At 51.7% G+C, this 15,678-nt stretch overlaps 1 protein-coding gene across 8 annotated transcripts in view, besides 2 other annotated features; it reads right to left on the bottom strand.

Annotated features, from left to right (window-relative positions):
• ALOX5 (arachidonate 5-lipoxygenase) overlaps nt 1–13,524 on the bottom strand; it is a 71,902-nt gene extending 58,378 nt beyond the window's left edge. For 6 of the 8 annotated variants that reach the window (NM_000698.5, NM_001256154.3, NM_001320861.2 and 3 more), the window contains exons 1-2: nt 13,311–13,524; nt 5,059–5,257 (exon numbers count right to left, since the gene is read on the bottom strand). In NM_000698.5, coding sequence (NP_000689.1) covers nt 5,059–5,257; nt 13,311–13,460 — 349 coding nt within the window. In that variant the 5' untranslated portion in view covers nt 13,461–13,524. Of the gene's footprint in view, nt 1–5,058; nt 5,258–13,272 lie in introns of those variants that run through there. The other 2 variants (NM_001320862.2, XM_047424937.1) reach the window with 2 other exon arrangements.
• Nucleotides 12,537–13,145: an enhancer, noted in NCBI's record as "H3K27ac-H3K4me1 hESC enhancer chr10:45870043-45870651 (GRCh37/hg19 assembly coordinates)". NCBI's record gives its function as "activates a minimal SCP1, AML or CMV promoter by ChIP-STARR-seq in naive H9 embryonic stem cells {active_cell/tissue: H9 hESC(naive)}" and the evidence as "EXISTENCE:reporter gene assay evidence [ECO:0000049][PMID:30033119]".
• Nucleotides 13,146–13,756: an enhancer, noted in NCBI's record as "H3K27ac-H3K4me1 hESC enhancer chr10:45869432-45870042 (GRCh37/hg19 assembly coordinates)". NCBI's record gives its function as "activates a minimal SCP1, AML or CMV promoter by ChIP-STARR-seq in naive H9 embryonic stem cells {active_cell/tissue: H9 hESC(naive)}" and the evidence as "EXISTENCE:reporter gene assay evidence [ECO:0000049][PMID:30033119]".

Below are 15,678 nucleotides of genomic sequence, written 5' to 3'. Positions count from 1 at the left end.
TCATCCTCTTGCCCACTCACTCAGCAAGCCTTGGGGCCCCTGCCTTTCAGTGCTTAGAGAATCATGTTCAGATGCAAGAGCCAGGCTTGGTTCTCACTGGGCTTGGCAGGCACAGTACATGCCTAACTCTGGCCTGCGTGTGCATTTCCACTTGAGGTCCTAACCTTCCACTCAGCCCCTCAAGACTCTTCAGGGACCTAAGGGCCCCTGGTGCAGAGCTGCCTTTTTGCTCCAGGAGAAAGGCATTTCGTGGCCCTTGGTGGGTATCTTTAAATCACTGCAGAATAGTTTACTCCTCTTCTCTGAAATTCTTATACTGAGCAAAAACGGGAGTTCACTCTGGGTTTTAGTGTTGCCTGTGAGAGCAGCAGTTCTCACAGCTCTTATGTTTCTAAGTCCATTTCATTGTTTCATGGAGAAATGTGTGACGATGACACAACCCGGTTTCCTGTCGTGCCTACACAGAGGATTGAGAATGAGCTCCATTCTAAAAGAGTGCAGTGTCCTAGATGGCTTTAGAAGAGACACATGTGCTTGGACTTGGGCTCTGTCACTGAAGCTGTGTGACCAAGAGTTGCCCTGACCCCCTCACATGTAAAATGGAGATGATAATGCCTACTTCTCCGGGTCATGGTGTGCATTTGGGGAGAGAATGCAGGAAAGCCCTCCACACGGCGCCTGGCACGCAGTAAATGCCAATGGATGGGAACAATGATCATTATCATTATGCCTATAGTCATCACTGGCCTGAGGGTTCTGCTCCTCCCTCTAAGCCTAGCTCTGAGAGCATCTTATCTCTCAGCCTGTCCTGCTGCCGTCTCTCACTGCAGGAGTTGGAGCAGGTAGCAGGTAGCTAAGGGCGGGGCTGCTTCTCAGAGCCTTTAGAGCAGATGAGGTCATATCATGACCACTCTTTAAACTATTGCTTAAGGCCAAGCCTGTGAACGCAGCCCATAGAGCTGTGAATAGGGGGAGCCCAGATCTCCTGAAAACAGGTCCTGGAATAGTTTCTCTAGCTCTCGTGGTAAAGCATTGTGTTTTAAAACTTACTTTTCAACACAGATTATTATATTTTTGTAAAATATAATAAAAATTAATTACTAGAAAAATGAAATTTTAAAAACCCAAAGATATTCAAAATCCAAGTCTTTTTTTTTCTTATTAGGTGCAAAAGTCACAAAATTGTTCTGTTAAGTTGCTATAAAAGTTTCTAAAACCCCTCCTCTGAGTCTTTGTATTTTATTTTGTATTTATTTTATTTTTATTTTTTTTAAGAGACAGGGTCTCCCTCTGTCTCCCAGGCTAGAGTGCAGTGGCATGATCATAGCTCCCTGCAGCCTTGAACTTCAGGACTCAAGTGATTCCCCAACCTCAGCCTCCTAAGTAGTTGGGACTATAGGCACACACCACCACACCTGGCTAATTTTTTTTTTTTTTTTGAGACAGAGTCTTGCTCTGTTGCCCAGGCTGGGGTACAGTGGCATGATCTCAGCTCACTGCAAGCTCCACTTCCCAGGTTCACGCCATTCTCCTGCCTCAGCCTCCCAAGTAGCTGGGACTACAGTTGCCCACCACCACATCCAGCTAATTTTTTGTATTTTTAGTAGAGACGGGGTTTTACTGTGTTAGCCAGGATGGTCTCGATCTCCTGACCTTGTGATCCACCCGCCTCGGCCCCTAGCTAATTTTCAATTTTTTTTGTAGAGATGGGGTCTCTCTACATTGCCCAGGCTTGTGACAAAATCCTAGACTCAAACAATCCTCCCGCCTTAGCCACCCAAAGTGCTGGAACTATAGGCTTCAACCTCTGTACTGATCTAATTGCAGACCTGGACGCAGTTAGTTCTCAGATGACACTCAGGCCACATTCTGAGCTGTCCACCCGACAGCACTTCCAGGCTGAGACATCTTCATCCTTGAGCTTGGAACTGGGGTCCAAAAAGGAATATTAACGGGATACCTCTGCATCCTCCCCTGGGGATGTAAAGCCAGCCAGGAGGGGAGGCTTGAGGCCACAGAAGGCAAGCTGAGTATTAATGGTGACAATAACTGTTATCATTGGCTATGGGGGTAATTCTGGAGGCACTCAACATTCATCATCTCTTATCTACCTTAAGGAACCAGCTAATCTCTTGGGCACCTTGACTCTGAGGAGCTGGATCTCTTCAGTTTCACTGGTATGAATAAGTCAGTACATGCGGAATTGCAACATGCCAAGTTTCAAAAAGAGAATAGTTCTGTCTCCCCTGGTCCCGAAGGTGTTTGAAGAATTTATCCAATGGCTGATGAAGTTCTGGGAGCACAGCAGGATGAGAAAGCCTGGACTGACGGCAGAAGAGCTCAGCAGGGCAGGTTCCAAGGACTGACACAGTGCCTTAATGAAGCTGTCCCTTCACACAGATGCTCTGGATCTGTGGGGCCACAGTAATGGCCCTCTGACATTCATGTTCACCCAAGGTGTAGTGGTGAAATATTAGATTTAAGGGGTGATCATATGGTGAGTAATTGAATCACTTGTAGGCTGGCCCCCCTCATTTCCAGGTTGTTCAAGGGATTGGTTGTTTTGCCATGTGGTGGATTAATAATTGGCCACAGCTGGACATGGTAGCTCATGACTGTAATCCCAGCACTTTGGGAGGCCGAGCCGGGTGGATCACCTGAGGTCAGGAGTTCCAGACTAGCCTGGCCAACATGGCAAAACCCTTTCTCTAGTAAAAATACAAAAATTAGCCAGGCTTGGTGGCTACCTGGAGCCTGTAAACCAAGCTCCCTAGGAGGCTGAGGCAGGAGAATCGCTTGAACCTGGGAGGCAGAGGTTGCAGTGGGCTGAGATCGTGCCACTGCCCTCCAGCTTGGGCAATAGAGTGAGACTCTGTCCCAAAATAATAATAATAATAATAATAATAGGCCACAAATTCTTTGACATTCCTTCCATTGAGAGATGGGGGGGTCTGCATCCCCACCCCCACCCCCGGAGTCTGGGTGGGCTCTGTGACTGCTTGGACCAGTAGAATATGATGGAAGTTACAGTGTGCCAGTTTCCAGGCCCAAGCCTGAAGAGATTGGCAGCTTCCACTTTCTGTCTCTTAGAAAACTTGCTCTTGGAAGCCAGCCATCATGTAAGAAATGCAGGCACCCAGAGGACACCATTCTGTGAGAAGCCTTAAAGAATGAGACTCCATATGGACAGAGAGGCCAAGGAGCCTAGAGGTGCCAGACACATGACAGAAGAAGGCCCAGCCCCCTTCAGCTGATGCTACATGGCCACAGATGAACTGCCCAGTGAAGCCTTTCCTAAATTCCTGACCTGCAAGAGCATGAACAAAATTAAATGGCTGTTTAAAGTTACCAAGGAGGTTGGTTTTACAGCAGTAGAGAGAATGGAACTTGCTGGACAGCTTCTCTATGCTCACCCTCCAACCTGTGCTGTCCCTGAAAGTGATTGGAATGAGATGCCTCAATGGGTTTTCCACTGGGAACTCTGACCAGAAAGGAGGGAATGTGTAGAGGAAGGAGAGGCCAATCACTCCCCAGAACCTTTCTACTGAGGGCCGCAGCTCCTCCAAGGGTGCTGTCTCCAGGATACTTCTGCATTACTCCCACAACCTTCCCCCTCCCCCTGCATCAGGACTAGTGGTGCTGATGGCCCCGCACTCTGCATGGTCCCTCTGCACATGGGCCCACACCTTTGTGATGCCCCTTTGTTAAACCCTCATCCTAGTGTACCATCTGTTTTTTGCCAAGATGAGCTGAAGGGTCTGCAGGAAGAAGGGCTTCATAACCGAGACCTTGGGTAGATGTGCAGGAGGGAGTTTCAGAGCCAGCATTTTCTAACTACCAGAAAAAGAGAAGTGCCCTGTCCACAACCTTCCACATTCTGTTGACCACAGGAATAAATGAACTTTGTGATTTTTTTTCCTGTCATTAGGTAGGGGGACAAAAATCCTCTTAACTCCATGTTCAGAAATATTCTGGAAATTTGGTTTCTTAAGTCAAATTCCACATCAGAAACGATGGGATGTGGCCTGGTAGCTTAAGAACAGCAGGTACAGAATAACTTTTTTCTCCTTTGTCTCAGTTTTCTTAGCTATAAAATGGGGGTAACAGTCATCTCTTCCTACCTACCCCACCAAACTTCGTGAAGAACACACTAGCTACAGGAAACTTGGCAAAGAGAAAGAGTTTGACGCTGTCATGGCAGAAGCAGTGGCTTTCTCTTATTACGGTGGCTGCCTGGCCTTTGAAGGCTTATCTTTCCAGGTTTAAACTGAGAGCAAGCTGAAGGGTTATGACTCGAAGTGAGGTAGGATTTTGCCAGGCACACTAGGAGGCTGGGTATGCAAGGTGGTTCATTCAGGGAGCCTTGGCTGACCTTGACGCCTGCGTCCGTCTCTGATGCTCTGTACCAGGTCAGCTGTGTGTCCCTAACAAAGAATGGCCTCCTAACTGGGGTCTGCACATCTGGGCATCTTAGTAAGGGGAACAGATTTGAGGTTCTTCTTTCTTTCAGCGAAAGGTGAGACTTCGGGTTGAAGAACTGGTAACTGTGATTTGCAGGCTTGTCCATGGCTCCTCAGAGCTGGCACTTGGGGTGCTCCTTGTCCACCCCTTCCCTCCCTAGGCCCACATGGGGCACCCTGAGCTTGCCTGAGCCCTACTGTGATCTCACGGAGGGCAGGCTATGAACTAGAAAGTGATGCCACACCCTGGCAACTAGAGAAGTGCCCATCCAGGGGCATGTCCCATAGGTATCTGCCTGTATGGACCCTAGTTACCCACTGACAAAAAGAGGGGCACAACCCTCCCCTGTAGAACTGTAGCGCAGAGTGAGGACATGACGACAGTGAGGCCTGGGGCCACCCGCTCCACCCTCAGGGGCTTGTAAGAATCCCAAGGAAAGTCATGCCTCCTGCAGGTGTGTCGAGGCACAGGGCAGAGCCCTCCCACTTCCCGCCCCTGCACAGCAGTGTCATTCCTCCTATGACTACAGTGCTTTGAGGACAGGAAGAACTTTCGGTTCTTGGGAAGCCCGGGGCAGAAGGGGCCTGAGCTGCTCACCGCGTCCATCCCTCAGGACAACCTCGACATCGCCGGTGATCCAGCGGTAGCAGGGGAACTCGATGTAGTCCCCGTGGGGCGTCTTCAGCGTGATGTACTTCAGGTACCAGTCGTCATTCAGCCAGTACTTGCGCTTCTCGATTCTGACCAGCTGGATCTCGCCCAGTTCCTCGTCCACAGTCACGTCGTATGAATCCACCTGGGAAGGAGAACAGGCAATCAGGCCATGCGTGGTCTCCTGAGCCTTTGTTCTGGAGGTGTTAAGAATTTGTCACCCCAAGGTATGCTGCTGTGGCACAGGGACTACGTTGAATGAAAAGCACTTAAAAAAACAGCAGGTGCAAGATACTCTGACATTCGTGCTGTTTCTTAGAAGCAGGAGATGAAAGTCCCCTATGAAAGATGTCCTCACTATACCAAAAGGAAAGTAACACTCTTTTCATCAAGGTTGGGAAGTTGAAGCCAAAGGAAATCCATACAAACAGATCTTGTACAATGAACGCTTACCTCCCGAGTCACTTCCCTGCCCAGTTACCTGCCCTAGCCCAAGCCCCTTGGCCTTATCACATCTCACGATGATTCATTCAATGCAGTATCTAAGGGGGATTGACTCTAACTGCTTCTTGGGGTCTTCATCTTTTTAAGAGGGCTCCCATGCCACGTACAACTTGTATTAAAGAAATCTGTAGGCTTTCGCCCATGAATCTGTCTTATGCCGATTCTCAGACCTAGCTGAAATGGGAAGAGGTGGAGTTTTGCCTCCACTACAGTTCATGGAGCCAAGATTCTTCATGAACACCTTAAATGAACTCCTGAATTCATTTACCCAAGACATTCACTGAAGGCCTGCCCCTGACAAGGCTCAGTGCTACGACCCAGGCAGGTGAAAGAAATGGACAAATCCTGGGCCCTGCCCTTGAGGAGAGAGAATCCAGTGAGCCAGGATGGTGCTGTGCTGCTCAGAGGGCAACGCCTGCTGACTGCACTTAGCTCAGGCTGGAGGATGGGGAGATGCCCAGGCTCATGCCTGCACCTGCGAGGCTGTGCCCAGTGAGGGTCCGCAGCTGCCCCCACATGGGATAGCCTTGTGGGAGACCTTTACAACTGGAGATGGGCTTGCTGACAGTGGATCCCCACAATGACTCTGGGAGTGCAGGGGAGTTACCACCCCTTCCACAGATGAAGACAGCGAGGCTCAGTGACTCCCACCTCTGCCACTTGCCAGCAGAGCTGGAGTCACACCCCAGGTCTTTCCATCATAGCCACTTCCTCTCTTTCCAGTTTTCAGTGGGGATAATAAGTGAGTGAAAATGGTGAGGCTTAGATACAGGGAGCTTGCATGGATTCGAGTCGTCCTGGGACATTTGCAGTTCACAGCTGCATGGTGATGCCCAGAGAACAGTGAGACCAAGCAGCTCTGCTGCACCTGTGGCATTACTGGTGGCAGGGTGAGGCTAGCCTTGCAGCTAGAAGGCACCACCCCAGGCTGTGTACAGCGCAGCTGCCCAGGCCTCTGGGACAAGGCTGCTTGGCCCCCTCCCTGCCAGGCTCCTGCTTCCAGGACACAGGCGGCTCTGAGGCAACAGCCATAGCTTCTGGAGGGCTTTTGTCTCTGCAGCAATGGATGGCAGACAGGAAGTTGGGATGAGAGGCTCAGGCATTGCATCACGCATTCTGATGACCAGCAGGTTTGGAAAGCCCCGGACTCGATGCCCTCCAAGGCATGTTCTTTTTTATTTTGAGGTGGAGTCTCACTGTGTTGCTCAGGCTGGAGTGCAGTGGCTCGATCTCGGCTCACTGCAACCTCCACTTCCAGGGTTCAAGTGATTCTCCTGCCTCAGTCTCCCAAGTAGCTGGGACTACAGGCACCTGCCACCACATCTGGTTAAGTTTTGTATTTTCAGTAGAGACAGGGTTTCACCATGTTGGCCAGGCTGGTCTCAAACTCCTGACCTCAAGTGATCCACCTGCCTCGGTCTCCCAAAGTGCTGGGATTACAGGCATGAGCCACTGTGCCTGGCCCCTGCAAGGCACTTTCTAAGCCAGATTCATCAACCCTTGAACTTTATCCCTGGCGGCAGAACCTAGAGTTCTCAGCATGATGGCAAAGTGGAAGGGGCGAGGGGTATCATCCTTTGTGCGAGCGCAGGCATCCCCATTCCATGCCCTGCCTCCAAGCTGCCAGGAGGACCCCTGGAGGGCTTCCTAAGAGGAATGGGAACTTGAGTGTTTTCCACAAACCTCCTGGCTCTGAATACCGTGAGCAGTTTGGGGTGGCTGACGCTGAGGCCAGACGCTTGTGGTCAGAAAGCGGAAGCTTCCTCCCTGTGCTCTGTAGTCTAGGCCAGAGGCCCTAGGAACAGTTTCTGATGACAGAGGAGCCAGGCCCATGTGGTGGGATGACATGTCTTGGGTCCAGCCACATGTGGACCAGCCTCGGCCCCACGACAATGCCCCTCCTGCAGGGAGAGTATCAGCCTCATCTGCCACCTCTGAGAAAGCCTTCCTGCCACAGCTTGTCCTCAGGAGAGCAGGGCCACACACAAGGCCTCGCCCATCATGGACAGGGTGGGCAGGTTCTGATGGGACAGGAGTCTCAGCATCTCAGGGGCTCGGGCCCATCTGGAGGAGCAGAGTGGGGGCTGAGTGGCCCAGGACTGGATACGCGTCGGGCCTGCCCCACGCCAGGCCCTGCATGCCACAGGGATTTACAGAGGCCTTAGCTGCAGGTTGTGAGCCAAGACAGAGATTCCTGATCCCACCGAGGAGTGGGGAGAGGGCAGTGAGGGGTAGAAGGCTCGGTGGGCCCTGGGGTCTGGAGCTCTGAATTCACATCCCAGCTTCAGGCAAGTAGCTGGATGGCCTGGGCACATTGCTTCATTCTCTGAAGCTGTTTCTTCATCTACCCAAAGGAGATACCCCTCACTTGCAGGACCATTGAGAAAATGAAATGACACCATCCTGGGTGGCCTCCTTTCTCCAGAGGCACAGGCCACCGGTTGTGTGCATCAGAACCACCAGTGCCCCTTCCTGAATCCAGGGGGTTGCAGGGCACCAGGCCCCACACCGCCTGTGAGCTAGCATGGGCCCCTGCGTCACGGCCACTTCGTGACTACATGTGCCAATCCGAGTAACTGGAGCACACATGGGAGGAGGAAACTGAACCTGTGACCTCAAACTCCTTCACTCAAAGCCCAGAAGGAACTCCTGAAAGGCTGGAGACAGGGCTGTGAGGACAGAGGGAGAGTGGGAGGCATTCTGAATGCTGGTGGGGCAGGCAGAGCAAGTCTGTGTGCGGTGAGGACTGAGGGGCGGCCACCAGAGGCCCGGGCCTGGTCTGAGTGTGGCTGCTGCAGGGGAAGTAGCTTTCCTATGGCTCTGAGGGGCTGGAGAGGGAGGAAGGTGTCCCCAGGGGATAGATGACAGGAAAGCTGGGGTGGGGTGGGAGGAGCTAACAGGGACACTCTCATGGGAGGGAGGCTCCCAGTACCTTGGACTAAGAGGGGAGGGAGATGGGCTGAGGAGGCATTCCAGGACTGGGCAGGTCCCACAGGGAGGGCCCGATGTCTACCTGGGGGTGACGACCCACACGAAGAGACTGAGCAGCTTCTCTGAGGGAGTGGACAGTGGGGTGACCCTCCAGCACACCTGTGGTGCAGTCACAGGGGACTGGGACACTCCTGGCCCCCTGCCCTACCTACACCTGCAGGCACCTGGTGGAGAGCCCCTGAGTTTCACTTGGGGTGAAATCACTAGGCAGATTTACAAGGACTCCATCTGCCATCTGACAGGGACTTCCACAGCAGGAGGGGGCCAGGCCTGCAGTCTGGCTGGTCTATGGCCAGCCCAGCCACTTTCCTGGTGCTGGCTTCAAGCCTGAATATGATAAGAGGTGAACAAGGGGCAGAGGGCTCCAGCCTTGACCCAACTCAGGGAGTAAAAGACAAAGCTTGATGGCTGTGGTTCTAACATCCCAGGGGCCACTAATGGAAGAATGACAGATAAAGGCCTCCTTCCAGGAAAATACCAGGGTCACATGTGTCAAACTGCAAAATATCTTCGGAAGGTTTGTGGAACTACAATGGCCACCTTCCTCCCTCCTCTCTGGGCCAAGTACACTGGGCTGATGCTATATTTGTCTATTTGCTGTGACACATTAAATTCTCAGGTGACACACTGAATTATGGTGGGCACTATCAACAGTGGACACCCCCCAACAGGCCCTCAGGAAGCACTGGGCCTGGGAATGGCCGAGCGAGTGATTATCCTGCTTTACAGATAGAAACTGAGGCTCAGAGAGCAATGGTGGCCTCAAGATCAGAACCTACACCTGTGTGATGGCCAAGCCCAGGTTCCTCCCACAGTTCCCCAAGGCCACATCTTGAGAAAAGCCCTGAACCGGAAGCTAGAAGGCCCAGCTTTGAGCCCTGGTTTGTACCCTGGATGGAGTGTAAAGGGGCAATGTGGAGTGGCATGGAAGGACAGGGAAAAGCTTCATAAGAGGGTATTTCAGGCAGCTTTTAGGGGCTGATCAGATTTCAGAGGGCAGATGAGTAGGAGGATGGGCATGGGTAGCACATTTCAGATGTGGGGAACTGGGAGGGCAGGGTCCCCGGGGGATTCACACGTGGGAGGAGGAAGGCTGGACACAGTTTCTGGGGACAGAAGTGGGTGGCGTGGTGGTGCAGATGCTGGAGAGAAACAAGGGAAACCTGCAACTCACCGGCCTCATTTCACAAGGGGCCACTTTGCTGATTTTGCTTGTTGCTTTTAACTTTTTATTGGATATGTAGTTTTAAAGCTTTTGAATATTTCGGCAAAGAGTCAGTTGGTCAGTTTTCATGTGAGCTTTCTATCAGCATTTTAGGAAAGTTTTCATCTGTCTTTCATCAGATCTCTGCTGTTGCTGGGACAGGGAGACGGATCTCTCTGCGGAAGCAAGGATGTGTGCCCCACCCCCAGACTACCCATCTTGGAGGGGGACTAATGAGGGGCTGTGGGAGGAGGAAGCTGTAGAGCAGAGAGGAAGATTGGGGGCCAGACAAAACAGAGACTCGGGATGAGAGAGGGGGAGGCTATGGGGAAGAGCTGAGGAAAACAAGGGACGGAGAGAGGGATTGGGGTAGTGGATAGGGAGACCAAGGGGCAGAGAAGGGGGAAAATGTGGGACAGAGAGCCGGAGATTGAGGGAGCAGAGAAGGGGCCTCTGAGAGGTGGCTGGAAGACAGAGTGTAGAGGAAAATTCAGAGCAAAAAAGAAGGGAGAGTTGTAGGGTAGAGAGCAGAAACGGGGGGCATTTAGGGAACTGGGAGCAGGGGAAGGAAGAGGAGGCAGAAGAGGGGGCAGAATGTAGGGAAAAGATGGCTCAGAGGGGGAGACTGGGAGATGAGAGACGGATTGAGGGTCATACCAAAGAAATATTTATGCTCCACTAATATATTCCCATTCACAAGAAGGAGGTATTCTAGAATTAATTTTTCATGAATGTAAGAATACTCACTGACTTAAGAAGCATGAATCATTATAACACTTTTCTACACTTGTTGAACATATTCAAGTATCATATATTAAACACCACGCTATTGCCCTTAGCTTTCTTAAAAGTACCAGCACAGAATGAAATGGGCCAACTAAGATTTCTCAGAAATCTTCAGATCTGTTACAGTTATCGTATCCGATCTGAATTACTTTAAATTTACAGAGTTAAAGAAATAAATCAACTTGTTAAATTTGCCTAGACTTGGGTTAGCCTCTGGAAACAGGGCCATTCTGTGTAGGATCCCGGCTTTCTCCAGCAGACAGTGAGGAGCCAAGGAAGACACAACCGTTTATAGGATAATCCCACCTGCGAAGGACTTGATTCCCAGTCCTGACTGAATCACTATGCGGAACTCTGATGAGAATAACAAGGGACCTGTGACTCACTTTATCAAGGAAAAAATCAGTCCTGTCCATTATTTGACTGAACTATGCCCTGGAGGAGGGGGGTGTTGACCTGCCAATAACTTGGAAATGATTAAATTGTGTGGAAATACCTTTATTGTTATTGTTATCGTTACTACTGTTAACAATACAGATTTTAACACTTTTCCCTGTAAAATGGGATAACCTTGTCTTCTCAGCAAGTACTTCCTCTAGGGTTTCTCTTTTACCTTTACCCAAAAAGGATGATTGTCTTTACAGATACCAAGCTGGGAGAATGAGGAAGTAGTTCTGGGCTGGGCAAGAGAAAGTGTTGAGTAACTTTGCATCAACAGGAACTTTCTCAAAAGCTGATTTTTTCAAGGAAACTTTCAGCCTTAGCTGGTTCCCCACCCTGCGGTAGCCCCCACCCCCAACCACCCCCCGCCCCACCCCTGACTTATAGCCCTCTCAACCCAATGGAAATGTGACATGCAAATCTCTCCTGAAATTTGCCCCTGGGATTCCGGCTGAGGTGTTTAATTATAATGTCATTTGAATGACTTCTCAGGGTAGGGGAAGACAGACCGAGAGAGGGAGATAGTGGACAAAACAGTGCCTTCACTCTTTGTCCGAAGAGCCCGCTATGGCCACGTTATCATGTCCCCTGCAGGAGGAAAGCACACACGGGGTGCCCGTGCTGTGCAGTGTGAGCACACCAATGGCCTGTGCTTCTAGAACCTTATGATGTGTGGAGGAGAATGGGGAGGAGGAAGCACTTACAAAGGGGAAGTAGCCTGTACCCTGTCCTTCTCCCCCAGGTGTGGGGAATCCATGAAATAATGGAAGTAAATGAAGGTGCGTCAGAAATGGCAGAGGGTGCCATCACCCTAAATGGACGACACATTAACTCCAGGGCACCGCAGTCCTCAGGGTCAGTTCCCCGACTGGGGCAACTAAGCAACTGAAGGTTGCTCTTGTACTCAACACCTAACTCTTCTTGAAGGGAGCTCAAGCCAGGATGCTAGTGAACTTGGCTGAGGGCCATGTCGTGCTACAGCGAGGGTATGGGCTCCTGGATAGGAATCGAGCCCATGGAGAGCTTGGAATCCAGAAAAAGAGTAGTTTTTACTTACTTTAGGCTCTGCACACCTAAAACACAAATTTTATCCAAGAGTAATCAGTTGAAACATGAACTTGCCGGTTGTATTTGTCCATTATGAGCAATTTCACAAGGTTTGATCAAATAATAAACTAAATGGTGAGAAGGCAGCTTGGTAAAGTCTAAATCTTTTTGGTCCAGTTAGGAGCTGGGGTGGGGTGGAAGGGAACTGATATTCCCTGCGCACCTGCAGTATGTCTGGGACTATTACCAGTCATTTACGGAGCGCTTCCTCTGTGCCAGGTACTGGATTAGGCACTTCATTAAAGGCTCAGTGAGAACTGCGACCTGCCCATGCTCATGGAAAAGAGTCGTGGGGCTGGAATTCAGGTCCAGATCAGCATTAGGAACTAGCTTCCAAATGCTGAGGGCTCCCTCGCGTCCTCACACCTAGCGTGGAAGTGTTCCCTGGTGTACATTCTGCTGGGAGGGAGTGCAGCCCCTCCATTTAGGAAAAGCCTCTCCTGGCCTGGGTTCTGTTCCTTCCCTTTAATTTCCTCTGGGGACTGTCCTGAGAATGTAAGCTGCCCAGGTGCCGTCTGAGCCACCAGATGGGCCTGGGCTCACCCATGACTCATGGACCAGACTGAAGCCAACCCTCCATTTTCAGCTGGGGAAACTGAGGCCCAGACAGACGGTAGAGTGAGCTGGTGGTCATGTCTGGACAGAACTCAGGCCTCTGGACCCGCTGACGTGCACCCTTCCCCACGGCTCACAGCTGGCTGCTCCGAGGTGCCCTCAGAGTTCTGTGAGCATGACTCATCTGCCTCTCCCTCCCTGTGCGACCTGCAGAAGGAGCCTAAGGAAGAGGTGGCACAAGAAACGCGGCCCAGTGAAGGGGGCTCCGGAGCCTCGGAGCCCAGATCTTGAAGTGGAGGGGAAACCTTGGGCCTTCTCCTCCCAGGGAAGACGCCTTGCAGGCGGCACGCGGGAAGTCTCCGTTTCCGACAGGGGTCGCGGCCGCCGCGAGGGGTCCTGGACGCTTGCCCACCAGGGTACCCACCGGCCACTGGGAGCCCAGGGCACGCCCCACCGCAGTTCTGCCCTCCCTGACAGGGTCCTGGACACCCCCAGTCCTGTCCGGGCCGCCCCGACGGGCCCTCGGCGCCCCCGCCCAGGCCTCTGCCGTCCAAACCGGGTCCCGGACGCACCTCAGCCCGCGCTCCACCCGTGCCCCGCCCGCGCTCACCGCGCCACGCTCGAAGTCGTTGTAGAAGGGCTTGTCCAGCAGGTGCTTCTCGCTGCAGCCCGCCGAGCCCACGAGGCTGAGGTAGATGTAGTCGTCAGTGCCGGCGAACCACTGGCTGCCAGTGGCCACGGTGACCGTGTAGGAGGGCATGGCGCGGGCCGCGGGAGCAGCGAGCGCCGGGAGCCTCGGCGCGGCGGTCCAGGTGTCCGCATCTAGCGCCGCAGCCTCCTCCCACCACTGGTCCCTGGCCCCGGTCCCGGCCCCGCCCCGGTCTGGCTCCAGGCTCCCGGCTGCCCCCGCCCCCGCCCCCGCCCCCGCCCCCGCCCCCGCAGTACTTCTCTCCCACTCTTCACGCGGCGCCGACTGGGCGGGACCTCGCCTCGGGCGGGGCAGGGGCCTCGCTCCTGGGTCTCTCCTCAGCGAGGTGTCTGTTCCTGCAGCCAGGGGACTGGGGCAACCTCGGCTGCCACCCCTCATCCATTCGTTCACTCGTTCTCTCCTGAATTGCTTCCACCCTTTGCCCTGCCTGCCTGCCTCGGCTTCGCCCAAGGCCAGGCTCCTGTAGGCCCTGGGGTGGAGCTGCGGGGACTCCCTACAAATCTAGGCACAGCCTCTGCTCTCCCCAAGTTCTCAGTGCCACTTGCGGTACTTGGAGCAGGGGTGCTCCGGGAGTCTGCAGAGGAAGAGCGACCCATGAGAGAATCAGAAGGGCTTCCTGGAGGAGGCCACCCCAGCGCTGATACTGAGGATGGATTCTGGAGCACAGAGGCTCCTTCAGCGCGGGCTTCTTCACTGGCTGGACCTGCGGCTCCTGGCGGGGGCAGGCGGGCGCCGAGACCGCGCCCAGGCCCAGAGATGGCCAGTGGTCGCGGGAGGCAGGCGGGACGGCACATCTGGACATGCGGGGCTGTCTAGGGGAGGCCAGGGGTCACGGGTCGGCTCTCTGAATCGCGGCGGGCAAATGCCTGGAAGGGTGTGGAGAAGGTTTCGCGCGCTCCTGGGCGGCTTCCCGCGGCTGGGGCCTGACCCCCAGGTTCCCGCCCACTCCTGGCGCCCGCCTCTCCCAGCCCCGCCGGCAGCGCAGGGTCTGACGGGCACACAGTCGCGTGTATTGATCTCGGCTAAGTTTAAACACTAGCTCACCGTGCGTGGGGCGGCGGGGATGTGAAGTCCCCAAAGGCGGCTGCCTACATTCTCACCAACGCTTCATGTCTGTGAAGCAGCAGAGTCCCTGTAGCATCTCCTCATACTGTCTTGGGTTTGTGCACCTGGCAAATGGCTTTGAACATCTTTTCACATGCTTGTTGGATATCTGTATATTTTTGGAGAGATGTATATTCAGATGCTTGACTCTTTGGAAAACTGGGCTATTTATCTTTTTTATCATTGAATTGCATTATTTATATATCCTGGATAGAAGTCTCTAATCGGATACATGACTTACAGACATTTTTATTGCTTCTGCGGGTTGTGTTTTCACTTTCTTGATGATGTTTGAAGCACAAAAGTATTTAACTTTAAGTCCAATTTCTTTTGTCGCTTGTGATTTTGGGGTCCTATCTGAGAAACCACTGCCTACAATAACATCTTAAAGATTTACTCCTAGGTTTTCCTCTAGGATTATTATAGTTTTAGCTTTTCATTTACATCCGTGACCCATTTTGAGTTAGTTTTTATGCATGGAGCGATAGAAGAATTCAAATTCATTGTGTTGCATGTGCATGTCCGGTTGTCCATGCATCATTTGTTGAATTCATTATTCTTTTCCCATTGCGTTGTCTTGACACCTTATTAAAAAGTAATTCATTATAAACATAACGGTTTATTTCTGGACATTGATTCTAGTCCACTGATCTGTAATGTACATGCTATACAGTGCCACACTGCTTGATTACCGCAGTGCTATAGTAAGTTTTGAAATTGGAAAATGTTAATCCACCAACGCTGTTCTTTATTTTTCAATATTGTTTTGGTTATTCTGGATCCTTTGAGATTCCATATAAATTATAGAATCAGCTTGTCAATTTCAGCCAAAAAGCAAGCTAGGATTTTGATAGGGGTTGAGTTGAAGCTGTAGATCAATTTGGGGAATATTGTCACTTTAACAATATTAAGTCTTCTGATCCATAGAATATGTTTCAGCTTATTTAAATCTTTTCTTTTCTTTTCGACTCTTTGGAGTCTCCCTCTGTTGCCCAGGCTAAAGTGCAGTGGTACAATCTCGGCACACTGCAACCTCTGCTTCCCAGGTTCAAGTGATCCATTTACTTAAATCTTTTCTGATTTATTTCAAAATATTTTGTAGTTTTCAGTGCACTTTTTATTTCTAAATAATTTATGTTTGATACTATTGTAAATGGAATTTTAA

This window comes from Homo sapiens, chromosome 10 (genome assembly GCF_000001405.40).
Source record: "Homo sapiens chromosome 10, GRCh38.p14 Primary Assembly".
In the NCBI taxonomy this organism is placed as follows: domain Eukaryota; kingdom Metazoa; phylum Chordata; class Mammalia; order Primates; family Hominidae; genus Homo; species Homo sapiens.
Note: the sequence above shows the minus strand (reverse complement) of the source record. Positions and strands in the feature narration are given on the sequence as shown.